This window comes from Homo sapiens, chromosome 15 (assembly GCF_000001405.40).
Source record: "Homo sapiens chromosome 15, GRCh38.p14 Primary Assembly".
In the NCBI taxonomy this organism is placed as follows: domain Eukaryota; kingdom Metazoa; phylum Chordata; class Mammalia; order Primates; family Hominidae; genus Homo; species Homo sapiens.
In genome coordinates, this window is record NC_000015.10 from 26035949 (window position 1) to 26056755 (window position 20807).

The 20807-nt window shown below is 43.3% G+C and overlaps 1 long non-coding RNA gene across 1 annotated transcript in view; it reads left to right on the forward strand.

Moving 5' to 3' along the window:
- Window positions 1-17172, forward strand: part of LINC02346 (long intergenic non-protein coding RNA 2346) — a 150761-nt gene extending 133589 nt beyond the window's left edge. The window contains exons 3-5 of the long non-coding RNA NR_040082.1: window positions 13177-13294; window positions 16080-16279; window positions 16419-17172. This is a non-coding gene — a long non-coding RNA (long intergenic non-protein coding RNA 2346). The remainder of the gene's footprint in view (window positions 1-13176; window positions 13295-16079; window positions 16280-16418) is intronic.
- The last annotated feature ends 3635 nt before the right edge of the window (window positions 17173-20807 follow it).

Sequence of the window (20807 nt, forward strand, 5' to 3'; positions counted from 1 at the left end):
CACTGATAGCCTAATGTTGACAGAAAGCCTTATCAATCACATAAACAGTTGATTACCACATCTTTTATATGTTATATGTATTATGTACTAAATTCTTACAATAAAGTAAGAGAAAATGTTATTAAGAAAATCATAAGAGAAAATGTATTTCCTATTCATTACATGGAAGTGGATCTTCATAGAAGTTTTCATCCTCATGATCTTCACATTGAGTAGGCTGAGGAGGAAGAAGATGAGGGCTTGGCCTTGCTGCCTCAAGGGTGGCAGAGGCGAAAGGTGGAGGAGGTAGAAAGGGAGGCAGGAAGGACTTATTAAGTATGAATGGACTCTCTCAGTCCAAAACCATGTTGCTCAAAGGTCAACTGTAGATGAGAAAAATTGCTCCCAGGCTGATTTCCAATGTCTAGTAAGCGCGTGTCTACCATTGTGCTTCCAGAGGGAGATGAAATAAGAGCATATTCTTTGGGTTATCTGGAAAAACCTAATGCTCAGAATGCACCACCACCAAGCTCTATTTGCTTCCCTCTACCACCATCTGGAGCAGCCTGACTACTTACGGGAATTGCACCTCTCAAATATAATTTCCTGCATGGACTTCTGCCTTCAGTCCAGAGGTGGAAAATTGCAGGAAACATTGCCTTCACGCTGTCGCAGAGGAAAAACTCTGATAAGTTGTAGTATCATGGTGGTGGTGGTTGTTTTAAGCACACCAGAGAGCTGAGGACATAAAGAAATCTAAGCTAATTAATTTCTAGAAAGGTATACGATTTTTCCAGGTGAAAACAGACCCAGGAATGCTTTTATCCCTGGGGACAAAGTGAAATGAAGAGCAAACTTGCAACAGGATGACGGTTAGGACAGAAAAGCCAACATTTTAGCAAATGTTTAACATCCATGCATGATTTGTCATGATGGATTAGAAACCCAAGCAGTATTTACATAACAGTAGACATATATATCCATGGAACAAGACAGAGAGCCCATAAATAGATCCACACATAAATGGCCAATTGATTTGCAACAAAGCTATGAAAGCAATTCAATGAGGAAAAGAGCTTCTTTTCTATAAATGATGCTAGAACATTTGGATGTGTGTGTATGTGTGTATATATATATATATATATATACACACACACATATACATATATATGTGATATAAGATGCATTATGTTTATAAATAAAGATAAAACTATAAAGTCTTAAGGAAAATATAAAATATCTGCATATGCTTGGGAAAGATTTCTAAGACATGACACAAAATGCATTAACCATTTAAATAGATGATAAATTGAACATGATCACAATTAAAAATTTCTGCTTATGCAAAGCCACCACTTAAAAAAATGGAAGGACAAGTCATGTTTTGGGAGAAAATAGTCACTTCCTAAAAATCATGTTAGTGCCTAGTCTCAGGGCAAAAATGCTTTAAATTGCATGTTTCATTCTATTGCCTTCCAAATGCTAGTTCCATGATAAATCCTCATACTCATTTGTGGCAGCCTGAGTTGGAGAGCAGATGACCCTATTAGAACAACTGACAGCCTTTCCAATCCATACAATGTCTCAGTTTTTCTTCCATGTTGTTAAAAATAATCTCATAAACCAGAAAATCCAGCAGGGGGGTGTAGAATTCCAGTTTCTAGGACATTACACATTTATTTGGAAAATGAGTTTTTTCTTTATTGCTACAATTCAGGAATCCTGCTCAATATTGACCACAGAATAGACAGAACTTCTTAAATGCGTCTGTGACTGAGCAGTGATTAAGCAGCTTCTTTCTCTGAGCTGGTCAGTTTCTTTTCTGAGTTACTGTTAACAAGGGTGTTCTTGTGGCTGCTTTGTAAGCAAACATTGGTCAGACTGAAATTGATTTGAAACATTCACACCACTTGAATGAGTAACCAATATTATTACTAATGTTGATAAAAATAATTGAATGCAACTCTATTTTTATAAGCAGAAATTCTTTTCAAGGGGGAAAGTCTATTTTCTCTAAATTATTCAGAAATACCAAGGTGTTATGGACACATATTATATACTTAATAAGAAATACTAAGTATGTGTCTGTACCCTTATAAAATTAAATAAACATATGTAAAATGCTTCCAAAAAATATTTACAAAAGAGAGCATCAAATATCCTTCAGAAATACACACAATTTTCATAATAAAAGCAAGTTAGAACATTATGAGGCAATGTGGCCATATTGTTCAGAAACCAGACTGCCTATTTTTATTTTAAATTTATTTATTTATTTATTTTGAGTCAAAGTCTTGCTCTGTCACCCACTCTGGAGTGCAGTGGCGTGATCTTGGCTCACTGCAACCTCCATCTCCTGGGTTCAAGTGATTCTCCTGCCTCAGCCTCCCACATAGCTGGGACTACAGGTGTGCGCCACTTCGCCTGGTTAATTGTTTTTGTAGAGATGTGGTCTTGCTGTGTTGCCCACTCCAAGCCTTATGCTATCCTCCTGCTTTGGCCTCCCAAAGTGCTGGGATTGCAGACATAAGCCGCCATCCCTGGCCCAAACTGCCCATTTCAGAGAAATCCCTTCCTTCTTTGCCATCAGATCTGTTATATTTCTTTTTAGTCATTTATACTTCTGGATCAACAGAACTTAACTTTATGGACTTTCAACAAGAGCTGGAAAAATAATACAGGAAGCTGAACCAAGAGACAAAGTTACACGCACCTCAAGCACATGCCTGGAACCATAAGGTGCATCTTAGTCGCCCTGTGTTTGTGGTTCACACCTCTTTCCCTCTCTCTTCAAAACACACGTGTGCAAGAAGAGCAATGATGAGCTCATGGAAGAGGCAGTTGCTGCCCTATCTTTGGAATCAAAAGGCCTCCCTCAGGCTTTGCTGGGCCACTTTCCCGCCCCTGTAACCAACTGCAATCAGGCTTCCTGCACTCACTTCCCACCTCTGCCATCTGCCTGCCAGGGAGAGGGGATGTGCCTGGCCTCACATGGGAAGAAGGAAGAGGCATCTGCAGCGGAGAGGCATTTGCAAACAGACCCAGAGAGCAGGATTTGCGGACAGGAGGCCTGTGGTGAGGAAGAATCCTCCTGCCAGGCCCACAAGGCTGAGGCAGTCGGCCGCTTAAAACCCAGCTCCCCTAGACTTGAGTCAGGGTTAGGAGGGATCCTGATTCCTTGGACATCTTTAGGAGAAACATGGTATTTTTATGCTGCATTGAAACAAATAAATCTCTGTATGCCTTACAATTAATGAAGCAGATTTAAAGCATTTTCAATAGCTAGTATCACATTTTCAACTACTTTTCCCTTCGGTCCCTGGGCTGCGGCTGGGATGTGCCCTGACCTCTGTCATTCTGCCCCTTGTTTATTCCACTGTCTCCTGTAAAACTCCTAAAGGGTCTTATATGAAGGTGGGGTTTTTTTTGTTTTTTTTTTAAAACGAATTTTCGCTCTGTAGTCCAGGCTGGAGTGCGGTGGCTCAATCTCAGCTCACTGCAACCTCCGCCTCCCAGGTTTCAGCCTCCAGAGTAGCTGGGAATACAGGTGTGTTGCTTCCACACCCAGCTAATTTTTGTATTTTTAGTAGATACAGGGTTTCCCCATGTTGCCTGGGCTGATCTCGAACTCCTGGTCTCAAGTGATCCGCCTGCCTCAGCTTCCCAAAGTGCTGGGATTACAGGTGTGAGCCACTGTGCCTGGCCAGAAAGTTATTAAAACTTCTCCACATCTTGCTTTCCTCGCCTGTGAGCAACACCTTTTCATCTCACAGGGTGTGTGAGCTTCATGAGAGCGTCTTAATGGGAAGCCAGTACAGGGATGGCAGCAGGTTAATTGTGGTAATGATGAGGTCAGTTTCCCTCCTTCTGCAGGAGTCTCCTTGCAGGGGGAACATGCCTGTTCAAAGAAAGCCTTTATTTTGCTTTTTAAAAAAAAAATTATAAATTTTTTTTAATTTTTAATTTTTGTGGGCACATAGTAGGTGAATATTTATGGGGTACATGAAATATTCTGATACAGGCATGCAATGCATAATAATCACATCATGAGAAATGGTGTGTCTATCTCCTCAAGCATTTATCTCTTGTGTTGCAAACAATCCAATTATATACTCTTATAGTTATTTCAAAATGAACAATTAAATTATTAATGACTGCAGTCACCCTGTTGTGCTGTCAAATACTAGACATTATTTATACTTTCTATTTTTTGTACCCATTAACCATCCCTACCTCCCCACCAACCCTCACTCCCCTTCCCAGACTCTGGTAAACATCCTTCTATTCTCTATGCCCATGAATTCAATTGTTTTGATGTTTAGATCCCACAAATAAGTGAGAACATGTGATGTTTGTCTTTCTGTGTCTGGCTTATTTCACTTAACATAATGACCCCCATTTCCATCCATGTTTTTGCAAATGACAGGATCTCATTTTTTATGGCTGAATAGTACTCCATTGTGTATATGTACTATATTTTTTGTTAATTCATTCATCTGTTGATGAACACTTAGGTTGCTTCCAAGTCTTGGCTACTGTGAATAGTGCTGCAATAAGCATGAGAGTGCAGATATCTCTTTGATATAAGGATTTTCTTTCTTTTGGGTATATATCTAGCAGTGAGATTGCTAGGTTGTAAGGTAGCTCTATTTTTAGTTTTTTGAGGAACCTCTAAACTGTTCTCCGTAGTGGTTGTACTAATTTACATTCCCACCAACAGTATACAAGGGTTCCCTTTTCTCTACATCCTTGCCAACATTTGTTACTGCCTCACTTTTGGATAAAAGCCATTTTATCTGGGGTGAGATGATATCTTATTGTAGTTTTGCTCTGCATTTCTCTGCTGATCAATGATGTTGAGCACGTTTTCATATGCCTGTTTGCTATTTGTATGTCTTGTTTTGAGAAGTGTCTATTAAGGTCTTTTGACCATTTCAAAATGACATCATTAGATTTTTTTCCTGTAGAGTTGTTTGAGCTCCTTATATATTCTGGTTATTAATCCCTTATCATGTGGGCAGTTTGCAAATATTTTCTCCTATCCTGTGAGTTGTCTCTTCACTTCGTCAATTATTTCCCTTGCAGTGCAGAAGCTTTTTAACTTGATGTGATTCCATTAGTCCATTTTTGCTTTGGTTGCCTGTGTTTGTGGGGTATTTCTCAAGAAATTTTTGCCCAAACCAATGCCCTGGAGAGTTTCCCCAATGTTTTCTTGTAGTAGTTTCATAGTTTGAGGTCTTAGATTTAAGTCTTTAATCCATTTTGATTTGATTTTTGCATATGACAAGTCTAGTTTCATTCTCCTGCATGTGGATATGCAGTTTTCTTAGTACCACTTACTGAAGAGACTGTCTTCTCCCTAGTGTACGTTCTTGGCAACTTTGTTCAAAATGAGTTCACTGTTGGTGTACAGATTTGTTTCCACGTTCTCAATTCTGTTCCATTGGGCGATAAGTCTGCTTTTATGCCAGTACCATGCTGGTTGGGTTACTATAGCTCTGTAGTATAATTTGAAGTCAGGTACTGTGATTACTCCAGTTCAGTTCTTCTTGCTCAGAATAGCTTGGCTCTTCTGGGTCTTTTGTGGTTTTGTATAAATTTTAGGATTGTTTTTCTATTTCTGTGAAAAATGTCACTGGTCTTTTTGATAGGGATTGCATTGAGTCTGAAGATTGCTTTGGGTAGTATGGACATTTTTACAATATTGATTCTTCCAATCCATTAACATGGAATATCTTTCCTTTCTTTGATGCCCTCTTCAATTTCTTTCATTAGTGCTTGATAGTTTTCATTGCAGCAATCTTTCACTTCTCTGGTTAAGTTAATTCCTAGGTATTTAATTTTCTTTGTGACTACTGTAAATGAGATTACTTTTTTAATTTCTTTTACAGATTGTTCACTGTTGGCACATAGAAATTCTACTGACTTTTGTATGATGATTTTGTACCCTACAGCTTTACTGAATTTATCAGTTCTAATAGTTTTCTTGTGAAGTCTTTAGGTTTTTCCAAATATAAGATCATATCATCTGCAAACAAGGATAGTTTGACTTCTTTCTTTCCAATTTGGATGCCCTTTATCTTTCCTGGTTGCTCTAGCTAGGACTTCCAGTACTATGTTGAATAACAGCGGTGAAAGTGAGAATCCTTGTCATGTTCCAGATTTTAGAGGAAAGAGGAAGCCTTTATTTTGGAGCCCAGTGTCTGACAGTGGAAAGAGCACAGAAATTAGAGTCACACATCCTGCCCACATCCTGCCTCATTGGCTTTGTGACTATAGAAATGTTATTGAACCTTCCTGGGTCTTGGTAGCCTCACCTTTAAAATGGGTATAATAATCCCTGTTCAAATGGCTGTAGTGACTTTGAAACACACCAATTTGGCTAAGCCAAAATGCATTCCCCAGAATTCTTGTTCCTGTATGTTTCCAGTTAGGATGGGCCTTGAAGGACATTTTGCACAGATTTAGAGAGTGGAAATGGAGTAGCAACTGTGTTGCTGTGTAGCTGCATTGCTGTTACTGTTGAAAGGTGGGTGTGGTGGGTATAGGGGCACATGCAATGTCGATCTCTGCTGGCTCACCTCGTAGGTGTGCAGAAGCAGTTGAGCTTGCAGCTGTTCAACCTTCACCTGAGGCTCCTTCAGCTCCTCCAATGCCTGGGTCAGAGACGTGTTTAGCTCCACAATGAGGGGCATCTGCTTCTCTTGCAGGTCACCTGCATTATCAAAGTTGGGGGCAGTGAGAGACTGACACACACAGACATGTGGATAGGTTCTAAAACTACCTCTCTGGAAAAAGCAAAAGCCCTGGTTTATAGTGTTTGCCAATTGATGCGGTGTAAGTACTCCCTTTGTGGCTGATTTCAAGCTCTCAATGTGGTGTCATTGAATGCAAAGTTAGGAAGAGATCCATACACTAGACTCTTGTGAGCTGATAGGAGAGGGCTCCAGCGCAACACTGGTGATGGGTCCAGTCACTTTTGACGAGCTGCAATGTGTGCTTGTGGGTTCTACATTGTCCTTGCTCTTCCCAATTTACAACCGTCTTCCCTTCCTGATAGCCTTTCCTGCAAACTTCAAGTGGTGGATTTATATGCAAAGGCACCTGCCTATCAGAGACTTTTTAAGCAGTTGCCATAGAATAATCCATTTACATCTACATATTTTTTTTCTCTAATGATTTCCTCCAGTGATTTTACTTATTTGACTTAACCCTGCCCCCTGACAGATATGGGCAGTTTAACTGAGATAATTTATGTGAAACAGCCAGCAGTGTTAGGCACAAAGTAGACACTGCATAATGTCAACTTCCTTAATGAGTGATTGTCAACTATTTGAAATTAATAGTATGTCATTTCCTCTCCTGATATCACGGGACTCAGAGATATTCATCATATTTATGGAATCATGTTCCTTTTATTTCTTTCCTAAGAAGATGAATCATACAGACCAGCACTATTCAATCGAAACATAATGCAAGCCACATATGTCATTTAAAAATTTCTAGTGCCACATTAGAAAAAGCTTTAAAAAAGGTAAAATTAATTATAATATATTCAATGTAATCCAATATATCAAAAATATTATTTCAACATGTAATCAGTGTAAAATAATATCCATTAGGTATTTTAAATTCTTTTTGTACCAACTATTTACAAATGTATATTATTTTTAAATTGCAGCACATCTCAATTTTAAGTGGTCATATTCAAGAGCCACACTGTGACTAGTGGCCATCATATTACAGAGTATTTGTGTAAATATAGACCCATAACAAATGTAAAATAATATATAATAAAAAATTATTTTTAATTGTCTGTGTTTTTCTTTTTTCTTTCGTTTTTAACTTTTAGGTTCAGAGGTACATGTGCAGGTTTGTTATATAGATAAACTCGTGTCACAGCGGTTGCTTCTACAGATTATTTCATCATGCAGGTACTAAGCCTAGTACCCAATAGTTATTTTTTCTCCTCCTCTTCCTATCTTCCAGCCTCAAGTAGGTCCCAGTGTCCGTTGCTACCTTCTTTCTCATCATTCGGCTCCCACTTACAATTGAGAACATGTGGTGTTTGGTTTTCTGTTCCTCCACTAGTTTGCTGAAGATAATGGCGTCCAGCTCCATCCATGTTCCTGCCAAAGGCATGATCTTGTTATTTTCATGGCTGCACCGTATTCTATGGTGTATACGTACCACATTTTCTTTATCCAGTCTACCATTGATGGGCACTTGGGTGGATTCCCCATGCTTGCTCTCAGCACAGGCTTCCAAAATCCCAGTGCTGTTCACTCCTAGGGATACCAGTAATGGGCTGTCTTGGTTTCAGGAGGCCTGCTTCTATACTGCTCATAGATCAAGGGTATCAGAAATTAGAAGACACGAAGTTTCCTCATTCCTCCCTCAAGCTTTATGTTTTTGAGACAGGGTCTCGCTCTCGCTCTGTCATCCAAGCTGGAGTGCAATGGCACAATCACAGCTCACTGCCTCAGCCTCCCAGGTTCAAGCACCCTCCTGCCTCAGCCTCCTGAGTAGCTGGGACCACAGGTGCGCACCACCATGCCTGGCTAATTTTTAAATTTTTATGGAGATAGGGTCGATGTTGTCCAGGCTGGTCTTGAACTCCTGGGTTCAAAAGGTCCTCCTGTCTCAGCCTCTTATACGTGCTGGGATTATAAAGCATGAGTGGCCAGCCCCCTGTACTTTAAACACACTAATTCAGAAGGCTTATCAGGTCCCACAGGCCAGTAGGACAGAGATGTGGACACCAAATTTGTAGCACACTAGTTTGAGTTTCTATTAACCTCAATAATGTTCTGGAAGTTGCTTAAAAAAAAAAACAGCAAACTATAGTTAACTTAAGATTCATATATTGCTCTTTCAAGTTAAAAGTAAAATACACTAATTTTTATCTGGTTTTACCACAATAAAATATGCCTATGCATTTTTCTGATTGGTAATACAATTTGGAACACAACTGACCAGGGCGTGTGCCAACAAATACATCACATTAGGTCCAGAATTGGTTCCTTCCAGTGGGCTCTCGGTCTCCCTGCCTTCAAGAATGAAGCCGTGGAGCTTCACGGTGAGTGTTACAGCTCTTAAAAATGGTGTGTCCGCAGTTGCTTCCCTCCAGTGGGTTCGTCATCTCACTGACTTCACGAGTGAAGCTGCAGACCTTTGCAGTGAGTGTTACAGCTCTTAAAGGCGTCACATCCACAGTAGTTTGTTCCTCCCAGGAGGCTTGGGTTCATGCTCTTCCTAACTTCACGAACGAAGCTACAGACCCTCTGGGGAAAGTAGTGTGGACTCAAGAATCAGCAGCAGCTACCTTTATTGTGAACAGGCAAAGAACAAAACTACCCCCTGAACAGAAGAAGACCCCACAGGGTTATCACTGAGGGTGTGGGGTGGCCAGCTTTTATTCCCTTATTTGGCCCCACCCACATCCTGCTGATTGGTCCATTTTACAGAGCACTGATTGGTCCATTTTACAGAGTGCTGATTTGTCCGTTTTTACAGAGTGCTGATTGGTACCTTTACAAACCTTTAGCTAGACACAGAGCGCTGATTGGTGTGTTTACAATCCTTTAGCTAGACAGAAAAGTTCTCCAAGTCCCCACCAGACCCAGAAGCCCAGCCGGCTTCACCTCTCAGTTTCCATCCAGACCCTCATCTCTGTCATCTATTTCATTTTTGCTTGTGTTGATGCAGAGATCCCACATCCAACAATAACTACAGCAGCAAGAGTGCCTCATGTGGAGCTGTCTGCAGAGCTTGCCAACTTGCCAGAGACTCCCCTGTGGTGGGCTCCAGGTTTCGTGTCACAAACTTGGGTATAAAAAAGGAAACTGTCCCAGCCCTTTGGGAGGCCAAAGCAGAAGGATTTATTGAGGCCAGGAGTTTGAGACTAGCTTGGGGAACATAGTGAGATCCTGTCTCTACAAAAAAATAAAAAAATATTTAGCCAAGCTTGGTGGCACCTGTAGTCCCAGCTACTTGGGAGGCTGAGGCAGGAGGATGGGTTTAGCCCGGGAGTTTGAGGCTGCAATGCACTATGATGACACCACTGCGCTTCAGCCTGGGTGGCAGAGATCCTTTCTCTGAAAAAAAGAAAGGCCAGGCACGGTGGCTCACGCCTGTAATCCCAGCACTTTGGGAGGCTGAGGCCGTCGGATCACGAGGTCAGGAGATTGAGACCATCATGGCTAACACGGTGAAACCCCTGTCTCTACTAAAAACACAAAAAATTAGCCGGGTGTGGTGGTGGGCGCCTGTAGTCCCAGCTACTAGGGAGGCTGAGGCAGGAGAATGGCGTGAATCCGGGAGGCAGAGCTTGCAGTGAGGCGAGATTGTGCCACTGCACTCCAGGCTGGGCAACAGACTCTGTCTCGGAAAAAAAAAAAAAAAAAGAAAAAAGAAAACTATACAAAAAAGTAATCTGTCAATTTCTGGGTTTTCTGGTAAATTCAAGATCTCCCCTCAGGCTCCTTCCCTGGAGGATGGGTTTACTCAGGCAGGAGCTCCCAGCAGCTTGAGAGGCGGGGCTCTCTTCTATATGGTGTGTGCTTGAGGGGCTGGGACCTACCCTGAGAGCCTCTCCACCTCACCTGGGTGTTTGCTAAGCCCTTCTGCAGGGCCTGGTCAGCCCCTGGTCTGGTCTGGGCTGCGAGGCTTTCCAGGACCTTGGCTCTTAGCCTCAGTATTGCATTTCTCCAGGCAGTGCAGGAACACGCTTGCTGTCCTCTCGTGCCCATCCAGAGGGCTGCGGAACTCCCGGACCTGCAGTGTGGTGCCGGTGAGGCAGAACTGTGGGATCCTGGCTCAGAAGGACCCATCCTCAGTGTTCCTATCAATACTCACATGTCTTGTTTTCTCCTAAGCCCTCTCCATCTTGCTTTCTAGTTTTAGCAAGTATTTTCCTAAAACTTGTCTTCTATTCGCCTCTGGGTTTACTTGTTTATTTTAAGAATGTTTCGTCTTTGTGCCCTGAACTAGCTGCAACCTTTCCCTTAGGGACATAGTAGGCTCATCTAGCTGTTGATGCCATGGGAAGTGACCTCATACTACCGCCAAGCAATACGATGACATGATGGGACAGGGTGCGCCAGTTAATCACTGCAAACTGCAATGTAAAGGTATGAAATTAGGAGATTAGTTCATTCTCAGAAAACAGGTGCTGCATAAATAACTGAGGTTATGATGGATTTCCAAGGTCTCCAAACTAGGGCACTCACAACAGGGCACACATACATTTCTCCCATAAGATTTTCCAGTAAACCACTTCATCATAAACCGTATCATCATAAAATGATTCATACTGATCAAATTTTGAAGAGCAGTTCCATAAAAACATGGTAAGATCTACAATGAGTTGACTTTAACTTGGAAAAAGAAAAGCTATTGGAATGCTTCCACCTTAATTGAAATAAACTTGGACATGAGGCCAGGCACGGCAGCTCACGCCTGTAATACCAGCACTTTGGGAGGCTGAGGCAGGTGGACAACCTGAGGTCAGGAGTTCGAGACCAACCTGTCCAACACGGTGAAACCCTGTCTCTACTAAAAATACAAAAATTAGCTGGGTGTGTTGGCATTTGCCTGTAATCCCAGCTACTCAGAAGGCTGAGGCAGGAGAATCGCTTGAACCCAGGAGATGGAGGTTGCAGTGAGCTGAAATCCAGCCTGGGGGACAAACGCGAAACTCCATCTCAAAACAAACAGACCAAAAAAAACTTGGATTTGCAATAAACGGTGGTTCACTCAATGTTTCACATGAGCATGAAATTCGCCTGAGGACATTTGTCCCCAGAGATTGATCAGAGGAGCTCTAAATTCTCCGGGCATTTTGCACTCCCGTGAAACAGCAAGCCTTCTGGTAGTGACATTTAGGTTGTGGCAGTCCTAGCTATGGGAGCTGGTACACAATTGCCTCCCTCCTTGGGGCTTATTTGGGTGTTTTTTTGTTTTTGTTTTTGTTTTTCTTTGGCTGTCACAGATCTTGAGCTTTAGAAACACTAGAACTCCTGTGGGTTGTCTCTGGTGCCACTTTGATAACCCAAGTAAGGTAGAATTAGTTATCAGCCTAGACAAAGTAAAATGATTTTTGGCTTACATGAATGTTATTTGATCCCACATCTGTTTTTAGAAGTGATGTCCCTGTCTGTGCAGTATCCTGGTGACACTTCAACCTATAGGCAGGAGGAAGGAAAATGTGGGCTGCCATTTGGAGGAAGAACTGGAAACCAGACACTCCTATTTGGATCCATTTAGGATGCCGGTGTGTTTGTGCTGATTCCAGACTTGGAAACTGGGGTACTTTTTCAAAGAGAGTTTTCAGAGGGACTCAGAGAGGAGCCCGGGAGCAGAACAGGGTCCATTTGTTTCACCTGGAGAATGACATTAGTGTGGTAAGGTTTGCTAAGCTCCTTGCACCTCTGCACAGCCAGGGTGCTATTACCCAGGCTTCATGCATCAGGGCTTTGGTTTGGATCCAGAGGAGTGGGTTCCTGTGTTTTCTGGGTTCTTTGCTGTCCTTAGGATCCTACAGACGCATCACATATACTTGTGCTTCCTTTTTGAAAAGATTTGGTGGTTGGTGTCCCTCTCCTCCTCCTACCTCTGGGCTGTAGTTCTCCTCCCACATCTTCCTTGGCCTCTCATCAGGAGTTTGCATCCTTAGGCAACAAGGGAGGGGCATTGCTGCAAGCTCAACTCTGCTTCCTTGTGTGGGTGCCCTGCCCTTGGATGTGCTGGGCTAAGCCACCTCTTACTGTTGCTGGAGAAGAGATCGCTATGGCCCAGTCGGCACCAGGACCCACCTGTCAAGTTGGGCTTCAGGATGATGTGCTGCCATTATTTCCTTTTGCCTTGTTTTCTTTTGTCCTCCTTCAGTTTGCTGCACAGCAGCTTGTGTATCTGTCAGCCACCCCGCTTCTCCCTGGGCCCCAGGGCCTCGGGGGGCCATGCTGCCTCATTGTTGGTAGAGTGTGCACACAGTGCTTGGGCACCTGCTCTTTCTTCTCCCAGTCTGCTCTCCCCAAAGGCTGCCAGAGGGTCTGATCATATCCCCTCTCCCCTCCCACCCCACACATGCCAGGCCTTTAGCCCCGCACCTTGGGCACCCTGCCTCGCCTCGCCTCACCTTCACCACTCTTTTTTTTTTTTTTTAATTACTGTTTTTTATTTCTTGTTTTGAGACAGAGTCTCACCCTGTTACCCAGACTGGAGTGAACTGGCACAATCTCGGCTCACTGTCACCTCCACCTCCCAGGTTCAAGACATTCTCCTGCCTCAGCCTCCTGAGTAGCTGGGATTACAGGTTTGTGCCACCATGCCTGGCTAATTTTTTTTTTTTTGGTATCTTTAGTAGAAATGGGGTTTCACCATGTTGGCCAGGCTGGTCCTGAACTCCTGACCTCATGATCCACCCACCTCGGCCTCCCAAAGTGCTGGGGTTACAGGTGTGAGCCACTGTGCCCAGCCACCTTCACCACTTTTGTTCTGAGCCCCAATTTTGCTGGGTTCCCTCACTGATCTGTGTTCCCTTCCTGGGTCCTTTTTGCTCCCTCTGGGCCCATACAACCCTTCCAGGTCACTAACTCTTATCATGACCAACCAGGCCAGGCCTTCCGTGGCTCACTCTCCTGGAGACGCTCATTGGAGCTCACACCACTGTGACAATGTCACCTGTCGTGCTGTGGCTCTTTTGCTGGTCTCAAGCCTCTTTGAGGGCAAGGACCACGTCATGTTTGCTCAGGCCTGAACCTTTTGTGCTTGGCTCTGAGTAGGCCCACAGTAATGCCAGTGTGTTCGATGGGAGAATGAATGAGCTGTACCTTGCTATCCCAGCACACCCTACCCTACCCAACTCCAGTCCTAAATAGTGGCAGAGATGGATAGATCATAAGCAATTCTAAATCAATTGTACCAGTGTGGTGGATACTGATAAAAATATTTTTAAAATCGCATATGATATAGAATGTTCCAAATCATTTGTGATATATGTTATCTGGCATTATATTATCAGGGCCTTAAAAAATCCTCTTCTCTCATTAAAATATAATAGTTCCTATTAGGAGCATTTCAGACCCAGTAGATACCTAATGCTTGTTTATTGATGGTGGTGATGACAGCATTTTAGTACAGAGGTAATTGATTTTCACAGTGACAAGCCGGAGGCTCGTTGATGAATGAGCACATGAGGCCCTGCAAGACACTGAAATGCCTTATGAATGAAAGCAATTATTTCAGTGCAGTTTTACTGTTAAGTGATTTTATTGCATTTCAAATTTTAAAAATTAGCAATTCCTGGAGGGTATACGCCACAACTATATGGAACAGGATGTGTGATTGACAACTCACAGCACCCTTAGTGAAGCTCGGACTTTGGGAGCTTGAGCTTCCCCTGCTAACACTGCCCTGCTCTCTGAGGCATGTGCAGTCTTTTGTGAACCTTTTTGTTTTTGTCAAACAATCACTGTAGGGCTGGACAGTGAGTTGACAAACTGGTGATTTATGGAATGGATACCCGCTTTGCACTTTCCTTTTTTGATGATTATCTTAGCAAAGCGGAGCATTCCGTGGACAGCTCCAGCGTGCTTCTCCAGCTGCTAAAAGCAGGTAGTGCAACTCAGATCCAGATTAAATGTCCATTTATTGAGTCCCACTGCTTCCTGAGTGCTTTCTCTAAATGCAAGATTCAGTCCAATCTTCCGGGCACCCTGGTGGCTTGGGGTTCACTGTGCATATTTTTCACATGTAGAAACAAAGACTCAACTTGGGGAGGTTGGAGAACTTCCAAGGTCATGTCCAGCATTCTTATCTGCATGCTCCCAGGCCCACTCAACTCCTTGCAATTTTTTGTTCATATCCTGGGGGGGCAAGGCCAGCAAACCTTTTGCAAATATATGGTTGAGAGAAAAAGCAACCCAGGGCAGGGAAGGTGACTGCGATTGCCATATACAAACAAAATCAGAAAATTCTAAACCAGTCACAAACAAAATGCAGTTGAGCAAATCTTTCTAGGATCTTAATTGTTTATGCAGTAATGGGTGGCATTTATCTGATATAATTTGTCAATTGAAAAGGCAAACAGTTTCAATTCAGTGGTGGAAAACTGCATTCAGGAACGAGTGACAGAATAATCACTGAAGGAAAATGTTATTGGAAACCATTAAGCAAGAATTTATGGGAAAATGAAAGACAAGCTGTCCCCTCATCCCACTCTGTTGAGCTTTCCCTGGAAACTGCAAGCTGCCAATGAGAAGCCAAGTTGAAATGCAAGGCCAGCCAATCAAACAGTTTATCACGTAAGACAACGTAGGCGAAACAAAGGTACTATGGCTGAAAGGGAACAGGGAGGAAGGACTCAGGAAGCCTTGTGTGCTCAGTCTAAACACCTGGCTACCCAGCAAAAAGCAGGTATATTTCATCTAAAAATTAGGTCAGAATACTAGTCAAATCCAATTATAAAACACCTCCCTTTTTTCCTCTTCTGCAAAACATATTTCACGATAAAAGGCAATAACCCTAGCATTATCTGCCACATGATTTAAGAAATAGAGAGGCTTCTAGTATTTCTCCTTCTCTTCCTCCCTGTCCTTCTCCCTCTGTGCTGTACCTGCTTCCATCCATCTCTTTGTATAACTCCCCCTCCCTTTCTTTTTCCCTCCTTCCTTCCTTCCTCCTGCTTTCCCTCCTTCTATTCATTCATCTGTCCATCCATTTACCTACCCACTAGTGTACATTCAACACACATTTTCATTGGCTGTGATGTTCCAGGGCCAGTGCTATGTTCCGGGGATGCAGTCATTTATAAGAGCATCATGGTCTCTGTTTCTTATGGAGTTCACAGTCTCAGGTGGGTGCAGACATGTGACCAGTTACAGTCCTTCCTAATAAGTGCAGGAAGCGTCTCCTCTGCAGAGATTTGCAGCGTTAATATGAAGTTCCTAGCTAGTACTACTACTGCTGCGTCTGCTGCTCCTGGCTGTGCTTATGTAATGCCTGCGAAGTGGCTCCCTGTTTTAAAGACTTCACGTATAGTAACTTACTTAATCCCGTAATTACCCTATAAAGTTCATGCTGTGTTTATCCCTTTGCAGAGGAGGAAAATGAGCTGCAGAAGGATCAAATGACCTGCCTGAGGTGCCCTATCTGTTGGCACAGGCCAGAGCACATGGTGGATGCAGGGGCACCCCCTTCCCTTCTCCTCCCCTCCGGCTCTTTGCTGACAGGATTCTCTCTTGCCTTCTCTGATGGTACCTGTGCTACGTGCCACATCCTTTCCCTCAATGAATTTCAGGTATGCACACTCACTGCAATAAAATACTGTTTACATCAAGGAGCTTGGGCTATGTTGAGAAGTAAATAAAATATCACCACTGTTGTGGTTCCCCCTAACTCACTGTGTTTTCTTATCCTTGTAAAATCTTCCTTTGCAGGCAGTGGAAGGGGCCGCAGAAGTTCCTTGACTCATGAGGCGAGGCATTCAGCGGCCTCGTGACACCTCCCAGGATCTGCAGTCATTGGGCTGCACTTGCCAATAGCAACACCTGGCAAAAATAGCTAAGAAGCAGAGCGGCCTGGGCTCAGGAGCTGAGCAACCCCTGACTGGCCAGATGGAGACTGTGTTGAGCTCTGCCCAAGCCCTGTGATCCTGGAAAACAGTGAAGTTAAGGAGCCATCTGCATTCTAGGGAATGGCCCACTGCAAAAAATAGCCTTCCTTATAGGACGTAGAGGACTCATGATGTCCCCTCATTTATGATGAGCCAACACACAGCCCTTCCAAATTCCGATTCTTTGCTTCATAACTGATGAGCTGTTTTGTTCCCACTGGTCAATCGGAACAACATTCTTGCTAACCAGATTTTGGTTCAGCTCTTCTCCCTCCCCATGTACCTGCCCTGTGTCCTGTCCTCATCCTGAGCCAGCACACACCCCTCCTTAGTAGCTCCTCCTGCAGCAGGCTGACCTCGGACTCTCCCTGATCCATTGTCCAAATATATCACCCTTTCACCCTACATCCTCACACCCCATTCTTTCTAGTTTTGTTCATTCCTCCCTGTGAAAGATGAACCCTCTTTGCCTAACCCCGGACCTGCTTGCAGACTGCTATGATGGCCAGAGTGTCCCCCCTACTGCAAGAGTCCCTTCTGTCCCTTGCAACATCTTTTAAATAAAATCTCTCTTTACCAAGCCTGGATTTGTGTTTTATTTAACTAGAGAGATCCCAGCTGGAAGCTCCTGCATTAATAATGTGGGTACCTGTTCATGAGAACTGGAGAGCTGGTCTCTAGTCAGAGCTGCTGTTGCTGGGGTCAGGCTATTGGGAATATTGAGTACTGGTGGGTAGGATTTAAGGAAGAAAGAGAAAGAGGGAGAAAGGGAGAGGGAGAGAGATAGGGAGAGAGAGAAGAAAGAAGAAAGAGAAAAAGGAAAAAGAAAGAGGGAGGAAGAAAGAAGAAAGAAAAAGGAAAATAAAGAAGGAAAGAAGAGAAAAGGCAGATTCTGAGAAACTATGTCTTATATTCCCAATGAAGTTTTGAGGTCTGTAATGTGGAGAGTTTCATAGAATCAATCCTTCCCTCCAACTTTATTGAGATGATTTAATGAGAGTCCTTCCCTACTGGGGCCCTGAGAAATACATCCTACGACCACAGTCACAAAGCATGGAGGGGATTCAAAGCCCCACATTTCTTTCTTTTTTTTTTTTTTTTTCTTTTGAGATGGAGTCTTGCTCTGTGGCCCAGGCTGAAGTGCAGTGGAGGGATCTCAGCTCACTGCACCCTCCACCTCCCAGGTTCAAGCAATTCTCCTGTCTTAGCCTCCCGAGTAGCTGGGACTACAGACTTGTGCCACCACGCCCAGCTGTTTTTTGTGTTTTTTAGTAGAGACAGGGTTTCGCCATGTTGGACAGGCTGGTCTCGAACTCCTTACCTCAGGTGATCTGCCCACCTTGGCCTCCCAAAGTGCTGGGATTACAGGTGTGAGCCATCACACCTGGCTGAAACTCCACATTTCTTAGGGACAGAGGTCTTTGTCCACACCTGTACTTCCACTAGGCTCCCCACCTCCACTGAGTCCTCATCGCTCTCATCCACACAAGTTTCTCTAATACCTACCCTTGCCCCAAAGCCTCAGAGCAGGGCCCATGGTTCAGCTACAGAAACAGTAGTATACTGCTGGGCATAGAGGGAGGATGGGGGAGAGAGTGCCTGGGAATTGCTCACATTTCTAAATAACCCCCAAATCAGCATTCCTGATACAACTGTTGTTGTTTATAGATAATGCTGTGCATTCACTCTTTTTTAAAAAATTAATTCCATTCATTCACTTAACAGACATTTACTTGCCACCACTATGTTCCAGATTAGCGTAGGGATGAGTTCACTCAGCTGAGAGGAGAGAGCCCCCATCCCATGGGACCCCCTCCCCCCCATGGCCAGTGTGGACACAATGCTATGGGAGCCCAGAGGATAAAGCAATTACATTTTCCTTGGAAAGTCCATACATTCATCAAAGAAGGGGGGACATGGGTGACACTTGACATGAACAGTGAACATTGGGCAGAGAGAGAGAGAGAGGGAGAGAGAGACAGCACCTCCCTAGAAGGAGGAAAGGATGATGGAGAAGAGTGGAGGTTGGCACCAGCTGGAGAGAAGAATGACTGGGGCTCCAAGTGGAGAGAAGAATGCCTGGGGCTCCAAGTGGCTGGAGGGAGGAAAACGGGGTGTGGTGGGGGTGCAAGGAATGAGATGGGTGATGGGGGCAGGGTGAGGCTGTAGCCCTTGTCTTGGGTCTGACAACTCATGTAAGGCTCTAAGAAGAAACCCCACTACATCCACTCTGTGTTTTAGGATCGTAAGTCTGGCCACAGTATAGAGTAGGCTATTGGAGGCCACTTATAGGCTGAGCAGACGACCATGAAACTGCCAGAAAGAACCCGAGATGGGCAGACTGGCCTTGGTCTTCTGGAATGGACGTGGAGATCCAGGGCAGAGGGCAGCAGGCAGGGGCAGAGCTCCATCCACCTCACCACAGCCTGCTCTCTACCCAGACTTCACAGACTCCTCTCAAGGTATTAGCTTGGGCTGCTGGGGCAAGAGTGGCTTCACTAACCAAGACAGAAGCCAAAAGGAAGTCCAGATGCTTGGGGGATGAGTATGAGCATGGCTTTGACACACCAAACCTGAGTTGCTTCCAAGACGCCAGGGCCAAGTGTTTGCAGCAGCAGCAGATGACGAATGAGTGCCACCTTGAAGTCACTGAGAGAGGAAATTGTTGGAGCCCTGAGAAGGGGTAAGATTTGGACATGATATTGAGGTGAGGAGAAGGTTGGGTTTAGAAACTTTTATTTACATTCAGCAAGAAGAAAACGGATGGGTTTAAATTTCATTTTAGTATTTTTCCTCTGTTTCTTCTGCTTGGGGGTACCAATGAATAAATGAGTCCCCTGAAGAAAGGGGATAAAGCTAGCAGGAATTTATGAGTTAAACAGTCAGCACCAAAACAACAGTGGTGGACTGAATGGAAGTGTTGGATGACAGGCTATGGAAAGATAAAAACTTAACTGCTCAGCCTTTCTGTAAATAAGCTTTCTGAAGTCTAGAATTTGGAATAAGAACCTTCATTCATTATCCATTATTGATGGAGAAAAGGGATGGAGATTTATGAGAAGTACCAGGAAGATATTAATGTACAATGAAGAAGCTGGTATTTATAATATACTCCAGTTATTATACATCCAGAAGCTGTCATTACAGTGGATTTCATTACCCTCTTAATTGTGATACTTTCTTTACCTTCTCAGGTACCCATGAACTTTCTCATATATAATAAATTTAATTAAGTTAATAGCGATACCTTATACATCATTTAAAAAAATGATAGCTAAGGTGAAGTAAAATAGAGGAAAAGAAACACATTGCCTGACTTGTTCAAATATGCAGGGCAGCTTAAGGAGTGGTGAGTGACAACACAGGATTCTTGATCACCAACACTGCTTCCTGAGCTCCCAGCTGTGGGAAGTGTTATACACAGCATATGTAAACCAATCTGAAGGTGGAAGACTTTCTGTACATCTACTTCAAATGAGACTAAAATCTTCAATACTTATTTCTTATCCCAAATTTTCGTTCTGATGTGAATGAAACTTTAAAAAAATTGGTATCATTAAAATTGATGTGTATTGTAAACAAGATAAGGGTAATTTATCTACAAAGACTTATGTGATGTCAAATAATCTTTCCTGTTCCCTAACTTTCTGTTCTTAAGCGCCTTTGGTGTTTTGTGAGAAAATAACCTGTAAGTATAAGCCATTAATGTGTCTTTGATTACAATTTATTGCACACCTACCATCGTTATACAATCATCAAAAAGCATTAGAATCATGAAAGTGTGTATACAAGAGGCATAGTCTTGGCATCAGAAGGTCTCTAAATTTAACCTAACAAGCGTTGTTGAGTATGCACAATGGAGAGGGCATTTCATAGGTGTATTTCACACCCAAAGTGATTGAGACAGCCTCCCTCCTCTCCTCAAGACATACCTTGTTTTATGCGCTTTGCTTTATTGTGCTTTGCAGATGCTGCAGTTGTTTTTTTGTTTTTTTTTTTCACAAATGCAAGATTTGTGGGGGCCCTGCCTCGAGCAAGTCCATCACCACCATTTCTCCAACAGCAGATACTCACTTCATGTCTCTGTGTCATATTTCGGTAATTCTCATGATATTTCAAACTTTTTCATTATTATTATATCTGTTACGGTAATCTGTAATTCTGTGATTGGTAATCTTTGATGTTACTGAGAGGTGACAACGTGCTGGCAGCC